We start from the raw sequence: 17,293 nt of genomic DNA on the forward strand, positions 1-17,293 counted from the left end.
AATTATACTTTCTGTACTATTTGTACTGTGTACAATTTATGCTATCCTCTGGGGTGACTATCATGTGTCATTTGTTACACCCCTGCTGACTCTTCCTTCCCCTTGTAGTTAGAATGCAAAATTTTCTTTAGTATTGCCATACAGGGCTGTCTTCTTACACACTTGCTTGACATTATTTGGCTTTTGTGATTTCCGAGTAGGTCCTTGTATGCCATTGGTTGAAGATTCTTTGAAAGCATTTTTTCAGGATCAAGCGTTGATTGAAGATATCCAAAATACATCTGTAGTTGAACCAAATGGTGTTTTGTGGGAGGTTTACTTTTCCCCTCTGATAAGGTGTGAGAGCCTGGGAGTAAACAGTGAGTAATATAGACGAAGACACAGACTGGGTGTTCATGTAGGTCCCTTGTTGGCTCCCACCTCCCCTATTCCCTGGTTGTCATGAAAAGCAGAACTGCTGCTCCCACCTCCGCTTTCCTCTTAACCCAGCCTTTCAGAGCAGCAGTAGGAGCCAGCACCACCTCTGTCATCATTCTCAGTGACAAAGGATGCAAAGTGTAGAACATTTCTTAGCTCCCATCTCCAGCCTCTGCCCTGGCAATTCTTCACCCTTGAACCTCTGACCCACAAGCAGAACACCTAGTGTTTGCAGTTCACTCCAGTGTATAACCTCTGGCAAGTCTTCTAAGCTTCCTTTACCTTACATTTCTTCAGTTGTTAAATGTTGCTAAAAATAACCAACTAACAAGATGCTTTTGAAGAAGGAGACATCCCAACCAGCCAGAACTGGAGAGAAGCTCAAATGGGACCCAGCAAGGAGGGCCAGAGCTGAACAGCTGGTCCCCTTATTCTCTTTTCCATGGCAGAGGAGATTTGAACCCACTGTATAGCTTTCTCTGTTGTGTGAATAGTACACTTTGTAGCTTTCGTGTTCAAGTAAAATGAAACCAAGATGGCTATGAAGATTGAGGGTAATATACGAACAGTACCTGATACAGTGAGTACTCACACATTCCTTTAATAACAAATCATTCCTGATCTTACTTCTGTGTCTACCTACATCTTCACCTAATTTTCATCTTGACCTCCCACTTTCAGCCCATGAGCTGCTCCTGTTGTTCAGATCAGGGAAGAAGGAACACTTAACGACAATCCAAATTGGAACCATATCATTTCCCAAAGATACTTTGCTATAAGCACAGTTAGTTAGGTTCTGGGATATAATGAAGTGGAGTTATATAGTCAAAGGGCCTTGAGAAACCTAACAGTCTTTTATTTAACAGTTGGACCCTAAGCCCATGAGGTGAAAGGGTCCATGATAGGCTGGCTCTATCCCAGGGTACTTTTAGATATATTAATTGGTAATCAGAGCCTCACCACTTGAGTGGCTTGATGAACCGTCATGTCAAGCGGCGTGCCAGTGATACTGGCCCCCTTGGTCCTCAGAGTGGCCAGGCAGGGATTGGGTTTGTCAGAGACCTGGGCTGGTCATCTTTAGCTATGATCAGCATCTTACCCCAGGGATGAGTAGAAGTATTATCATCTTTCTGCATGCCTTGATATGAAAAAGGCTTTTGTAAAAAGTGATCCAGATTATCTTCATACCAAACATCTGATTTAAAAAAAGTTCATCCCTAAATATAATTTGACTGCTATGATAATTTATACTCAAAGGGGTTGAATAACTTCACTGAGATAAGATAGGCGTGTCAGGATTTGAACTCAGGTCTTCCCTTCTCCATCCAGAGCTTATGCTCTGCAGTGCTGCCATGTGCCCCTTTAGTTGCAAAACGGGGCTTATAGAACACAGGTCACCTGACCTGCTGCTACTCACAGTGTGGGTTGCATAGATTTCTGTGGGCAGTCTTGACAGCTGAACATTAATTTACACCAGTGTAAATTAATTTGGAGAAATGCATCATAGGTTCTAAAGGTCTAACTTATAAGCGACCTTTTCAAAAATAATTTGTTTATAACTTGACAACATCCCATAATCCATGTCTTATCAACTTATTCATCTATAATATGGTTAATGTCAGAGTATTAACCTACCAAGACAATAGGAAGCAGGCAGTCTGTAATACTTCACCTGTGTAAGTCAGGGTGTTGCATTACAGTGATCCACTTTACTCCCTAAGGTTGCATGTTGTCTGAAAAGAGCAGTTGCCCATGATAGAAATGAATGCAGAAATAATTCTGTACAAAAAGCCTTCCTTTGTCCTCTTGGTCAAATACAGAGTCTGAGGTCCAGTGGAAGGCATCACGTGGATGGATCTGGGTGGTTGATCTGCAGCACTGGTGGAGCACAAAGTGTTATGCTCCTTGTCTCCAGCCCCACAGAGGCAACCTTTGAATCCTAGGAAGCAGCCATCTCTTTGTGGTGTGCCAGTGCCAAGAATGATTATACCACGTGGGTGGAGTGGTGTGATGTGAACTCTTGCCCTTTCTTTAATTAACTGTAGATTGTTTTTTCCTGCTGGCCAAGGGCTGTTAGAGATTTATCATCTTAAATCATCTTTAGTATGTCTGGCATTTGAGGAGAAATTTATTGCCCATTGTTGGATTCAGATACTCAGTCATAGCACAGTTTTAATTGTGTTGATACATAAAACGCAAATAGAACAGTTTTAAGTACTTGCTAAATGTTAGCTTTATACTTTTTTAATATTTGGTCATTTTATTTTATCAGTTTCACTATGCCTACTGATTCTAATACACGTTAATAATAATAGCAGTTGTTGGAACTTTATGAAGTAATTTCACAAGCATTCTGTTTATCCTTAAAATGATCCTACAAATAAATATAAATGCAGGTAATGAATCTGTTGTTCAGGAGGTGAAATAACTTACCCCAAATCACTTAGCCTTTAAATGGAGGGCCTGAGCCCCAAATCCCTGTCTGCTGTGTCTGTATCTCTGAGTGTTATTCTTCATGTTACCTCAGTTTACATTGCACTAAGTATTAGTGTCTACTTTGTCTGAAAGGGGGATTAGAACATGTTGTTAGGGCCAAGCATGGTGGCCCATGCCTGTAGTCCCAGCACTTTGGGAGGCTGAGGCAAGCAGATCACTTGAGGTCAGGAGTTTGAGACCAGCCTCACCAACATAGTGAAACCCCGTCTCTACTAAAAATACAAAAATTAGCTGGGCATGGTGGCACAGACCTGTAATCCCAGCTACATGGGAGACTGAAGCAAGAGAATCACTTGAACCCAGGAGGCAGAGGTTGCAGTGACCCGAGATTGCTCTACTGCCCTCCAGCCTGGGCGACAGAGTGAGACTCCATCTCCAAAAAAAAAAAAAAACAACAAAAAAAAACATGCTGTTAGCATCATAATGTGATAAATAGAAAAAAAAAATTATATATGGGCATGGAAGGAGAATGTTACAGTTGACTTTACCAGAAACATTGGATTTCAATTTCAAAGCGCCATCCACCTGAGATGAAGCGATCCACAGCACTGCTCAAGGACACTCTCTTGCATGATTTCCATAGCTCTTATTTGTTTATTGGTTTTACAGTCAATCCCCCCGCAAATGGACATCTGGAAGGTGGAGACTCTCCAATCGTTCATTATTCTTTCAAGGGGCCTATTCAATAGTGGTTGGCATACAGCAAGTGTTAAATACTTGTTGATCAACTGACACAATATTCAAAACAGTTTCTTTAATGTAGGATATAAATGGTTTGTGAATTTTAATTTTTATCACTACAAATTTTTCAGTATTCAGCAATTTTATTAATCTTAAAAATATTGAGAATATTTCAAAACCATTTTCTATGAAAAAGCTGCTAGTACCTTATTTGACAGTATTACAAATTACTAACTAAACTGTTGTATGAGCCGTGATGTTAAGGCTTATATTTTGTATTTTCTCATTTGAGTTCAGACCAGGCAACTCTTAAGTGAGTATTTACAAATTGCTTGACATTCATTACTGGGAAAAATATCCATGGTCAAGTTTTATCTGCTAATGTTTTCAGGAAATCATTAACTTTTTCCTAAAGATTAAAAAAAGGCTTATAAACATTTAGCCATTAATAGTTAGACTCATGCTTTTTGCTTCGTTTTTGAGGAACAGGCTAAGTTACTTAATTCTGTGTAAAATACTACAAGCTGTGGGTTATAACCCGTTAGGGTCTCATGAAATCAGTTTAGTGGATAAGAAACAGCATTTTTTTTTTAATGGAACAGAACAGAATAGATTAGACTGGACTAAGCTGGACTGAAATAGAAAATATCAGAATGTGTTGTATGTAGTAAGAATAAATATTTGTTTATGAAAATTGTGTTTTAAATGTTAAGTATGTACATATTGAATCACAGTTTAAATTTTTTTTATTATGGGCCAGCATTAAAAAAAGACCCATTGATTTAGAGGATTCCTTAATTGTTAGCATATTGGGAGTGAGGGTTTTTTTTTTATCATTCAAAAATGAATTTATTTGAAAATTATTCATCTAACACACATTGGCTGATTGGCAGCTGTCCATAAAGTGCCTGTTCAGTAAATATACTTACCCACACTACAGTTTAATGGGTTCCTATAAACTAATTTCAACGAATAATCACAAGCATGTTTCTGTTTAACCTGAAATCCCAGACTGATTGGTCATTCCAAATCCTGGTTCAAGAACAGTAAAGTCATCTCACAAAACCCCCAGATGGAACTATTGTGGTGAAACTTGGGAGACTTTTGCTTTTGGACCTCCTGCAGGTTTCTTCTCTATAGAACTACTTACTACTGTGGAGCTTTGGGTCTAGTTTTCCCCAAAATGGGAATAATAGTACCTACCTTATAAGGTTATTGAGAGGATTGAATGAATTAAAATATATGAAGTCTTTAGAATAATACTTTAAAAAATAAGCACTAAATAATTTTAATATAAAAGCTTGCTCCCTAAATGGTGAATACAGGAATAAATGAGAAAAAATACAAATATATAGATACAACTGTTGGGTAAATTTCAGGGAGTTTATAAATCCCCTAAAACTTGTCTGTAAACCTGCTTTAGTCATATGCTTCAGTGAAAGGTCCAATACTCCAGACTCCAAGACAGATTCCAGGGAAAGAAAAGTGATTTAAACTGTCTCCTCTCCTCCATCTCTTTTTTAATTTTTTTCTCCCTGAGACGGAGTCTTGCTCTGTTGCCCAGGCTGGAGTGCAGTGGCGTGATCTCGGCTCACTGCAAGCTCCGCCTCCCGGGTTCACGCCATTCTCCTGCCTCAGCCTCTGGAGTAGCTGGGACTATAGGCACCTGCCACCACACCCAGCTAATTTTATAGGCAGAAGCAGGAGATTCGCTTGAACCCAGGAGGCGGACATTGCAGGGAGTCGAGATCAAGCCATTGTACTCCAGTCTGAGTGACAAGAGGGAACTCCATCTCAAAAAGAATTATAATTGATCAGCCAGACACAGTGGCTCACACCTGTAATCCCAGCGTTTTGAGAGGCCTAGGTGGGAGGAGTGCTAGATACCAGGAGTTTGAGATCAGCCTAGGCAACATGGTGAGACCCTGTCTCTACAAAAAAAAAAAAAAAAAAAGCCAGACATGACAGCACATGCCTGTAACCCTAGCTACTCTGGAGTGGAGGTGAAAAGATAGCTCGGGTATTGAAAGTTACAGTGAGCTATGATCATGTCGTTCCAGCCTGAGCAACAAAGCAAGACTCTGTCTCAAGAAAAACCCAACAATTTTTTTAAAAAACCAAACCACACATAAAATTGATTGATCTTACTTTTGAATATGTGGAGTGACTTAAATCAAATCACTGTCATGGATAATTTGAGTGAAGTTATTAATCATTCCATTAATTTTTCCTGTGTATGTGAGAATATATTACTGTTGATTATGACATCTGTGGTGCATGTACTTCACGATTTAGAGCTAGAAGAGCTTTGGTTTTAGAAGTTACATAATACATAATATAAAGCAGATGAATTTTGATATTTCAGATTAATTTTGTTAGCACAGCAGAAAGCTGAACAGTAATTTGGTTATTTTATTTTCAGAAGGTAATTGCAGCAGATGCTGGTAAGGTCACTGGGGACTGAGCAATTTCCATTTCCATGGCTCCAACATCTTTTTTTTTGTCTTTTAAGGGGGATGGGCGGGGAGATAGTTCTTCTACTATGCCAAGTCAACTGCTGTCACTAGACAATAAGAGAAATTTAATTTTTTTAAACCACAACTCTAAGTTTATATAAACGATATTCTTATTTTATAAGGGTAGATATATTTTAAATGTAAAAACAGGTATATACACACACATACATACATATGCAAACATATTTTTCTTTGAAAAGAGTATATGGATTTTTAAAATATAAAAATTAGTTGTAAGCTCACATGTATTCATATTTAAGCACACTTTATACGAAATGGCATTATTTTGGCTGAGCGCAGTGGGTCACGCCTGTAATCCTAGCACTTTGGGAGGCCAAGGCGGGTGTATTGCCTGACCTCAGGAGTTCGAGACCAGCTGGGCAACACAGTGAAACCCCATCTCCACTAAAATACAAAAAAAATTAGCCAGGCGTGGCAGTGTGTGTCTGTAGTCCCAGCTACTCGGGAGGCTGAGGCAGGAGAATTGCTTGAACCTGGGAGGCAGAGGTTGCAGTGAGTGAGCCAAGATTCCACCACTGCACGCCAGCCTGGGTGACAGAGCAAGACTCCGTCTCTAAAAGAAAAAAAAAAAAAGCGCATTATTTTAATGAATCATTTAAAATGAAAAATTACAAAATTAATTGGGTTACAAATCCAATATATGTAATCTTTACCTCCTTCTTCCTATTTGTTTTTAATGCATAGGAAAACCTTTCTGTGATTTTGAATAATGACCATTTTGGTTTTTATATTAGCCGATGCAACTAGATATTTAAGACTTCTCTCAGTTCTTTCATGTAATTAAATGTAAGAATTTAGGTAATATTCTTTATGTTATGAAGAGAAACATATGCATTGCTTGCATCTCAGAGAGACCTTATGTGCCTGTGCCTATTAAGCCCAGACGGTAGATTGGTAAACAAAACAAATATGGTCCTTGCCCTTATGGAGAATACTTTTCACAAATACGTTGTCTTAGTTCATTTTGTGTTGCTTTAACACAATGTCACAGACTGGGTAATTTACAATGAACAGAAATTTATTTGGCTCACAGTTCTGGAGTCTGGGAAGTCCAAGAGCATGGTGCCAGCATCTGACAAGGGCCTGCATGCTGTATCACCCCATGGTGGAAGGTGGGAGGGCAAGAAAGGGTGAGAGTGGGCTGGGCGCGGTGACCCATGCCTGTAATCCCAGCACTTTGGGAGTCTCAGGCGGGCGGATCACCTGAGGTCAGGAGTTTGAGATCAGCCTGACCAACATGGAGAAGCCCTGTCTCTACTAAAAATACAAAATTAGCTGGGCGTAGTGGCGCACACCTGTAATCTGGAAGCTGAGGCAGGAGAATTGTGTGAACCCCGGAGGCAGAGGTTGTGGTGAGCTGAGACCTGCGCCATTGCAATCCAGCCTGGGCAACAAGAGTGAAACTCCATCTCAAAAAAAAAAAAAAAAAAAAAAAAAAAAGTGAGAGTGAGCAAGCAAGAGAGGGCCAAACTCACTTTTATAAAAATGCACTCTTCTAATAACCAGCATGCTCCCACAATAATAACATTTATCCATTAATGAGGATGGAACCCACTTGGCCTAATCACCTCTTAACAGTGCCACCTCTTAATTCTGTCACAATGGCAATTACATTTCAACATGAGTTTTGGAGGGAACATTCAAACCATAGCAGACATTAAAGAAGAACATCAAATCCATATGTCATTATAAATGGCTGTATTTGCTGTGAGGGAAAGCAACAAGACATCATAAAAGAGAAGTGCAAAAGTAGTATCCACTTTAGACACAAGTTATGTTCAAGGACCTTTGGAGAAAATGACATTTAAAGGTCATTTAATACTCATGTGTTAATGACTTTTAATGATCTTGGGTACAAGCAGGAGTTCACCAGGTAATCTGTGTGTTTAGGAGAAGGGCTAGGGAGAGAGGGAAGGACGGGAATATTCTAGGTAGGGAGAATCCTTGGATGAAAAGTCCTTAAAGTGACAAAAAGCTTGGCAGCTTCCTGGATCTGCAAGATGGCCAATGTTCCTTGAACACAGTGCTTTTTTGGGAGAAATGCACAGGCAATGTTAAGAGGTAGGCTGAGGCAGATCATGCAGGGCCTTCTTGGCCATGTTTAGGAATTTGGATTGAACAGCTAGATGGATGGAGGTGCCATTATCTGGAATGGGAAAACTAGAAAAACAACAGTTTTGAGAGAGTATCTCAAGAATTTAATACGTTAAGTTTGAGATGCTTACAAGACAACCACTAAATACACAATTGGGTATGTGTAAATCTGGATTGAAAACAGGTTCTGGACTGAGATGGAAATTTCAGAGTTGTTGGCCTCAGCCATGGGAAAGGATGACATCATATAGGCAGGGCATATAAAGTGAAAAAAGAACAGAACTAAAGAATGGGAACAGAATTAGGAAATTTCAACATTTGGTGGTCTAGTACAGAAAGAGAAGTAGGATGAAACTCAGAAGAGATAGAATCACTGCAGCTGAGAGAAGAGAGAATTTCAAGGAGCGAATGATCAGCAGGTTTGCAAGTAGCTGAGAGGTAAATTAAGATGAGGACTGCAAAGTATCCATTAAGATTGACACTTGGAGGTCACTGATAATTGATTGGATAAAAGCAGTTTCAGCACAGTGGTGGGAGAAGCCAGTTTGATGTGAATAGGAGGTAAGGGAGTGGAGACCAAGCTTCTAGCTAATTCTTTTGGGAAATCGGCTGGGAAGGGAAGCCAAATATTCAGGCCTTGGCAGGAGGAAGATGTGAGAGTCAAGGAATGGTGAGTTTTTGAAGATGGAAGAGGAAGAGGAGGCATTAGAGCATGCTTGTTGGCTAATGAGGATGGTGCATCAGAAAGGGATCCCTCAGGGATGTCCACTTGAAGACTGGTGGTTACTTAATGCCATGAGGATATTAGCAAAGAAGCAAGGCAGGAGAGGAGCCATACTGGGATACATGCACCTAGGCTGGCTGTCTAGGACCTGTAATGTGTTTTAGTTTTACTTGTGCGGATTGGTGGCACTGTGGGCTCTGTTTTGCTGATTGCACACTCATGCTGTGCCAGGAGATTTACAAATATGACCTCACTATGGTATTAGTTTTCTCATTTTTATAGGCAAGGAAACAGGCTTGGAGTGGTTTAATAACTCCCCAAGTTCCATAGCTAGCAAATAATGGAGCCAGGGTCTCTTCCTACTTGTATCTAATTCCAAAGCCTTTATTCTTAACTGCTACCTCCATAGTGCCCTTTAAATAGAATGTAAAAATAATTAGAACATTCTCTTCCATAAGAGAATTTTTTAATTGTAATATCTTAGATGAAAACATTAATTTAGAAATTTTAGAATTTATATTTAAAATTTTAATCTCTAAAAATAAAATTTTAAAGTTTAGACATTTTTCCATAAAAAATTTTTATAACCATTGGTAACAAATTATTATAATATGTCCTCTTTATAATCTATGTCCAAAAGTATTTGAGCTCCTGTTTCAATTTTTTTAGTAGAACTTTTACATATTATTTTAAGAGACAGATGTACAATGCTAGGAGTTAGAGCACCTTGGTGGTATTAAGTTTTTCCTTATTAATAGGAATTTTTAAAATAAACTATGTGACTGGATTTTAATATATTAGTGTATTAGTATAGTTATCCTGTTTTAAGTGAGGACCAATCATTCATATCTGTTTTAAATGAAGGATGCTAATCTTAATGCTGTAAGCAGTGACATCGGTGTAGGAACTTGATATACGTTGTGTTTGTTGAGAATAGTTGGGTGTGCTGCAGCATCCTCTCCAGCAAAGGAAGCCACTAGCAAAGATGTTCCTGTGTTTTCTCAAGTAAACAACCTGCGGTGAAGTGGTTATGTCTGTGTAGATCTGATAACAACTAGTAAATTTCTTTTCCTGCATTCAAAATTCTAATTTAGTGCACTGTTTCACAGTGGCTTTAGCTGTATAGTCATATCATATGAGGAACTAACGTCCCCCTCTAAGAGTATAGAAGCACCAGGTAATATAGTAATCAGACAATGCCCTGGAATCCTAGAAGAAGTAATTGAGAGATTAGAAAGAAAACACAGCATTTTCTTTTCTAAGTGTCAGGTTCATGTTAACTTGATATTTTTCTTCTTCCACTTAACCTCCTTAATACAGGCATCATGCCTAATTTCAGAATTATAAAATCTTTTAGTCGAAATATGGAGGTCGTGTGGGCTACCATGCTAGGTTTGGAATATCTACTGCCTTTGACAAATAGAATGTTTTCAGCCTGGACTTGAACTTTTCGAGCTATAACAATGTCTCAAGGACCCTCAAGGCTGCTTATTTCTTGCTTGAAAAACTCTTGTTAGAGGGAAGTTGTTTTTAAATTTTTGGTTAAATTTTATTTCCTTTCAGCTTATTCTATTTATTCCTTGTTACTTCGAATCCATACAGAATAAATCAAATCCATCTTTCATATATTATCATTGCATGTGTTTAAAGACAACATCATGAACCTTTTCCAGGATGAGTATCGTACCTTTCCATCCCTGAACCTTTTCCAGGATGAGTATCATAAGTTTCTAAATCTCTCCACCTAAGATGGAGTTTTCAGATTCTTTGCCATCTTGATATGACCTGATTAATGCAAATATAAGAATATTAGGCCAGGCAAGGTGGCTTACACCTGTAATCCCAGCACTTTGGAAGGCTGAGGTGGAAGGATTGTTTGAGGCCAGAAGCTCAAGACCAGCCTGGGCAACATAGTGAGACCTTGTGTCTACAAAAAATTTTTTTAAATTACCAGGCATGGTGGTGAGTGCCTGTAGTCCCAGTTACTGGCAGGGGCCTAGGGGTTGGGGTACTGAGGTGGGAGGATTGCTTGAGCCTGAGAAGTCAAGGCTGCAGTGAGCTTTAATCATGGCACTGCACTCCAGATTGGGTGACAAAGTGAGGCCCTGTGTCTCTCTCTATATATTTTATATATATATATATATGTGTGTGTGTGTGTGTGTGTGTATGTGTGTGTGTGTGTGTGTGTATAGATATATATACTTATCCTTTACTTTTATTAATAAACACCACATTTCATTATTTTGTTGACAGAAATTATGCTCATAGTGAGGGGGGAAAAGTGTTTTTCCATCTGAATTGGAATTTTGTCTTGTTTGTTTTCTGTCTATTATTCTATTTTCCAGGAATTTTGAAGCCTGATTTTTAACATTGAACATATTTTCTGCCCTCCCTAGATTGCGTCAGATATGCAACTTGAATAGCATGTGTTATGTTCTTATCCAAGTAGTTGATTAAAAGGCTGAATTGGAAAGCTTTATGCATTATGGCATATTAGTACTGTCAGTACATGAAATAGTTATCGTTAAGTATTTCAGTTTGCTATAAATCAGTTTCCTCTAAGTTAACCGAATTCTCTAGTCCAGCTGTTTCCATCTTACCTTAAGAAAAGTAGTGACATTTTCAGGGGCCTTAGTGAAATCTTTCTATACTACCTCCTGTGACTGGCCCATCAATATGCCAAATCTAGCCCAACCAAAAAAGATAATTATGTTCATTTAGAGTCACTCATTTTAGTGTACCTATAGTGGTTCCTAGAAGTCAATAATTTATCTTCAGGTAATCACAAATGATTAATGAGCTATCAGTTTATTTTTCTGACAGTTGATATCAAGCTACTCGGTGTGTCATTTCCAAATTTTTTATTTCTTTTGAAAACCAGGTTTGTTTGTTTTTTTTTTTTCCTACTTCCAATTTTCTTTCTCAGTGATTCTTTTGAGATTACTGGTAATGGTACTGCAACTCAGAGGGTTGCTTTGACAGGACTAGAGACTTCATCCTGGATTTCACTTTCTTCTTAGCCATGGATATGTCATCCTTTTTAATTTTTTGCCTATTCTCTTTGCTAAAGCTAAAAATAGGATTGGACTAGACCTGTTTTCTCTCTCTTACAGCTTAACTTCACCCAGTGGGCCTATTGCTTCTTGCCTCTTCAGCCTCTCAACATCCCTATAATTTTCTCGTTAGTTTTCCTTTGCATTGTTTACAAACTTCTGCATATGCTGAGCTTTCACTTTCTATGCCTGTTCCTATAGACTTCTGTCATTTGCTTTTTGCTTTCGTTTGAGCTCTATTATGTGCCTTCTCGCCATCCCCTATATGCCTGCCCATTAGAAACTTGAGTTTATTGGGCCATATTTGTTTACTGAGATGCTTTCAGCATTGGTTCTTCCACAGACTCATTTGTGATGGAGTTGACAGAATTTGTTTCGGAAGAACATATTACAGACATGAGCCGCCACACTGGGCTTGTTTGCGTCAATTCTTTCACAGTGTTATCTGCTCTATACTTCTTCCGTATCTCCCTTTTGATTGACAGTTAAAATCTTCACCTAAAAATAAAAAAAAATAATTAATCCAAATCTACAAAATTTCTACCAATAATTTCAAAGGCACTAGGGAATCATTTCAGGTTTCTTCCATGACAGTCAATCTCTTGATCATGTGTCTGGACAATTTCCTCTTGAGTGATGGCTATAATAATTTTTAGGAGGCTCTCTGCCACTTTGACATTTTGTGCGCTAAACCTGCCTAACCCTACCCAGGTCAAATTTTGGTTGCTTTTATCCCCCTGCTAGGGAGCCCCCAAATACTTTACTCTCTTTTAACTACTTAAGGGATGAACAAAACAAGCAGTAAATTATTTTATTATTTGCCAGGCAAGAGGACACACACATGTTCATTGGTAATGCTACTTAGAGATTGAAGTTTGTACCCTGGATAGGGGAAATGAAGTTTGCAGCCTGGATAGAGGAAATGAGTCCATAAGGCCACAAATGATTGGTTTTAACTAGTCCCATTTGTCATGGGGCAGTGAAGAGCCTTCACTTAGGGCCCTTAAGGGCCTAGCATACCAAGGATGCTCAAAGATCACAGTTTTATATCAGCTTTGGCTGGTGGGCTGTTCAGAATTCACAGCCAGTTACAGTGAAACTCAGCACCAAGCTTAGCTCCTGGGGAAGTGCTGCTACAAAGTGGATGTTCTTTGGCAGGACACAGGAGGAACCGCTGGATCTCTCAGCCACCTTGTTATTTTCTGCAGCCTCGGCTGCTCCAGATTTCAGGTCTGTGGGACATCGCCACACTGTTGTGTCACAGCATGGCATGGTCTCCAGACCTCCTTTCTCCCCTGCCATGTGTTCTGCCCACCAAATCGTTTCAGTTTCTCTCTGGAACTTCAGAATAGTTTTCTTTCTTGCATATTATGTAAGTTATTTTTCAACTTCCAGAAATCATGCTTAATGAAACATATCTTCAAAATAAAACTTCTGCTCCAGTTTGTGTTGCCGCAGAGTGAAACTATTGGCACTAGAAATTTGTGAATTTGAAGTCATAAATTGTAAGTGATTTGCATAGTTTAACCTCATTAAAGAGAAAATGAGAAATTAAGAAAAAAGTGGAAACCAGGACAGATAAATTTGCTTATTATGAAGATCAAACATAAAACAGTTGAGTAGGCAGACAGCTAAAACTCTTGGAAATAATGGGGCTGGCCGGGCTTGGTGGCTCACACCTGTAATCCCAGGACTATGGGAGGCTGAGGTAGGTGCATTACTTGAAGTCAGGAGTTTGAGACCAGCCTGGCCTCATGGTGAAACCCTGTCTGTACTAAAAATACAAAAATTAGCGAGGTGTGACAGGCTCCTGTAATCCCAGCTACTCGGGAAGCTGAGGCAGGAGAATTGGGAGGCAGAAGTTGCAGTGAGCTGAGATCACACCACTGCACTCCAGTCTAGGCAACAGAGCAAGATTCTGTCAAAAGAAAAGGAAAGGAAAGGGAGGGGGGGAGGGGGAGGGACAGGGGGAGGGAATAAATGAGGCTGATGTCTTGTTTCAATCAGGGTGGTGGCAAGGGGTGCTTTGGGGGCTGTGGCTTCTCTCTCCATTCACCTGTGCCATTGCCATCAGCACGTTCCACAGGCCACCCCAAATAAACATGCAGTTCTAATAAAAGGAGTCAGGTTGCTTAGCTGGTGCAGCTTTAAGACATATCCCTGACCTCCTCTCACTCCCCCAAAACTCAGTTTTGCCCCTAACTTCTAACTGCAGAGAAATTATAAAGTTAACACTAGCTTAAGTAAGGCCCTTCTTCCCTTTGTCTCTTCCTTCCTTTTTGTTGATTCTACAGTGTTGTTTCCTCTGAGAAATAATAATAGAATTTAAAAAAATTGTCATGTTAAACTGCAAAGCTTTTATTATTTTTTTAAAATCGTAATGCTTGCAAAAACATTTGGTCGGTAGGATTATTAAGACGTGACAAAATGATCTTTAAAAATAAGATGTACTTTCATACACAGTGGAAGAGTATTAACAGAAATATGTGGGCAGCTTATTTTTGTTTTTGTTTTAATAAAAACAAATATTTGGTTTTAACCATAAAAAGTTCTCATGATACAATTATTTGTGTGTCTGAAATCATCACTAGAGAAAACTAAAGTGACTTTAAAATGTAAATAATACTTATTAAATACATGTGAACATAGTATAATTAATCCCTTGTAGGTAAAAGAAAATTCTTTAAAGTTTGATTAAAAAAACGGAAGATTTTTGTTCATCAGATAATCCCCATATGATCTAGATTCATTTATTTACTTAGTTGTTTATTGTTATAGACATTTAGGGATGGAAAATATCTTAAAAACAACCTAAGCTAACTTCTTGGTAGAGGTGAGCTACTGAGGTCTTAAGAGGTTGTTATTTAACCAGGGTCACCAGACTCTCAGCTGCTGCAAGCCACAGACAGAGGTTTTCTCTTAGCAGAGTTGTGCTTTCATCTCACTCTACTTTAGCAGACCAATGATATCTCAAGCTTGCGTGTTTCTTTTAAGACCTCACTGAAGTCTTGCTGACCTAAAAGGAAGAAGCTGAGGCAAAATTAATGCAGGTAGAGTTGATTTGAGCCAAACTTGAGGATTGTAGCCCAGGAGCATAGATTGAAGATGCCCTGAATATACACTCTGATTAGCAGCAGTTACAAGTTGATTTTTAAAGGCAAAAAAGAGATAGGAAGTGGGCTGATACAAAGTGATGTGCCAGGAATTCTTGTTGGCTTACAGAAATAGCATTGATTAGTGATTGGCTATGCATTAAGTTATAGTGTCTGGTGTGGCATTATTAGATTAATTTATAGCTGCTTGTGGCAATAGCAGGCTGGTTCTGGAGATGAATACATAGCTCCAGCGGGAAGTAAGATGTGATTGCAGTCTCATTTTAGTGTCTCTGCAGCCTGATAATTTAAAAGGATGTATATTTCCCAGATAAAAGTTCTTTTCTTTTCTCAGGCTAAAAGAGGTAGAACACTTATTCCAGAATCTTTAAAATTTCCTGAGTTCCCCAATAATGCAGCCTTGATAGGCACACAATCTAATCTTAAGATACAACAGCTATCCATGTTATTTTCATGTGATAAAGACTGCTAAGTTTCCAAGTATCATCCAAACCCAGCTCAGCCAATCCACATTTTTGTGTTGTTGGCATGGAGCAACCTTACTTACGCAAATTCCTGTAATAGTCAGGAAGCTCTTTCCCCTTTCTAGGTCAAGTAACAGAAAACAGATCAGACTACCTTAGGAGAAAAAAAAAAAGGAATATGGAGTTTCTGGTTCACATAAGTAAAAAGTCCCAGATAAGATTTGACATCAGGAATGCCTGGATTTGGGACTCAAATAATGTCATTATGACTCAGTTTGTCTGTATCTAAATCCTTCCTTTCTTTTAGCTTCCTTTTTCAGGCTTTACTTGATAAATGCTGCTAAGTCAGAATCTCTATTATGCAACAGCAGGCAAAGCAAATGCTTGCTATTAGGTCTCACAAGTCCTGAGACTCACAGGGATTGGACCAACTTAGAGCCGGTGCTAGGTTTTGGAGTAGTGGCTGCCACTGGCAGAGGCAGAGACTCAGTGCTTTGATTGGACAGGCCCACATAAAGATGTCCTTCCTGGAGCTAGGATGAGTCCTACCCAGATCTGGTATTACAGAATAAGGAATAGATTGTAGGGAGGCCATTGAAATCTACTGCAGTTTTCTGTAGTATGTCAGGCACTGTACTAGGCACTGGATTTAAAGCTTTTAAAAAGGAGAATGACATGCTTTGAGTCTCAGTGAGTTTTTAGACACTGTACATGTCACTGTAAATATCATAGTTAATTCCATCATTGAATGGATGATTTGACAAGATAACCTTTAAAGAACTTTCCTACTTGAGATTCTATGATTTACGCTTCTTGGAAACAAAATGGAAAAGGTACAAATTCTTTCATTAGTTTAGGTAATTATATTTTCATCTTAAACTGTTTTAGAATTTTTAATATTGTGACAGCTTTATGTAGAATTCAGAAAACTCAATTTAGTGTTTAATACCACAACTCCACTAAAACAGTATCTGAATATAGAAAAATTAATTTATGAATAAAGAGCACTTTAAAAAATGTATAGTTGTCATGCCAGGGACATAATGGTTGGTAAATATGAATTTTCATTTTTGCTGATGCCATTGTGAAGTTGTAATGTATACATGCGTTAAAATATTGAGCCCCTCTTTTTAAGGGACCCTTTGATGTAGATGATTAAAGATTGAAGATTCTTTGGTCTAATCCATACAAACAGCAATGAAATTTTCCCTGATTTGGCTTTTGTTTGAACTGTAGCTGATATACTCCCTGCAGAGTCTCAGTAATAGTTAAAAACATATTTATTTTCCCCCATCTGATAAAATATTGTTATCATTCCATTTTGGTTTTCTTCAAAACCGCCTTTAACTCAGCCAAAATAAAGTCCAGCTGAGTTTTCTTATGGCTTAATGCAGGAGTATGGAAATCCACAGGAAATTTGGATGACTATTATTCCAACATTACAAATGTTCAAGAGAGTTTTAGAAACTGTATTGAAATTAAAAGGAATGCCTGGGAGCAGAACATTTAAAACCACATAAACAAGTACACATCTATGAGAAATTACCTTGCCTTTTATCAACAACTACTAAAAAATAAAAAAGAACACGTAGTAAAATCAAAGCAAAACTTTCTTGGTAAAGTCTGCTACTGGAGAGGGTGCTTGATAACTTAGTTAATTTCATATTAGGAAGTTGGTTGCACCTGTGTGTGCCAGGTGACATATTAAGTATGA

General features: G+C 38.6%; 1 protein-coding gene across 17 annotated transcripts in view, besides 1 other annotated feature; it reads left to right on the top strand.

Annotated features, from left to right (window-relative positions):
* Window positions 1-17,293, top strand: part of NCOA7 (nuclear receptor coactivator 7) — a 150,920-nt gene that overhangs the window by 38,531 nt on the left and 95,096 nt on the right. The window lies entirely within an intron of this gene.
* Window positions 2,238-2,532: a silencer, noted in NCBI's record as "tiled region #14390; HepG2 Repressive non-DNase unmatched - State 5:Enh". NCBI's record gives its function as "represses a minimal TATA promoter and a strong SV40 promoter by Sharpr-MPRA in HepG2 cells {active_cell/tissue: HepG2}" and the evidence as "EXISTENCE:reporter gene assay evidence [ECO:0000049][PMID:27701403]".

Source organism: Homo sapiens, chromosome 6 (assembly GCF_000001405.40).
Source record: "Homo sapiens chromosome 6, GRCh38.p14 Primary Assembly".
Lineage (NCBI taxonomy): Eukaryota > Metazoa > Chordata > Mammalia > Primates > Hominidae > Homo > Homo sapiens.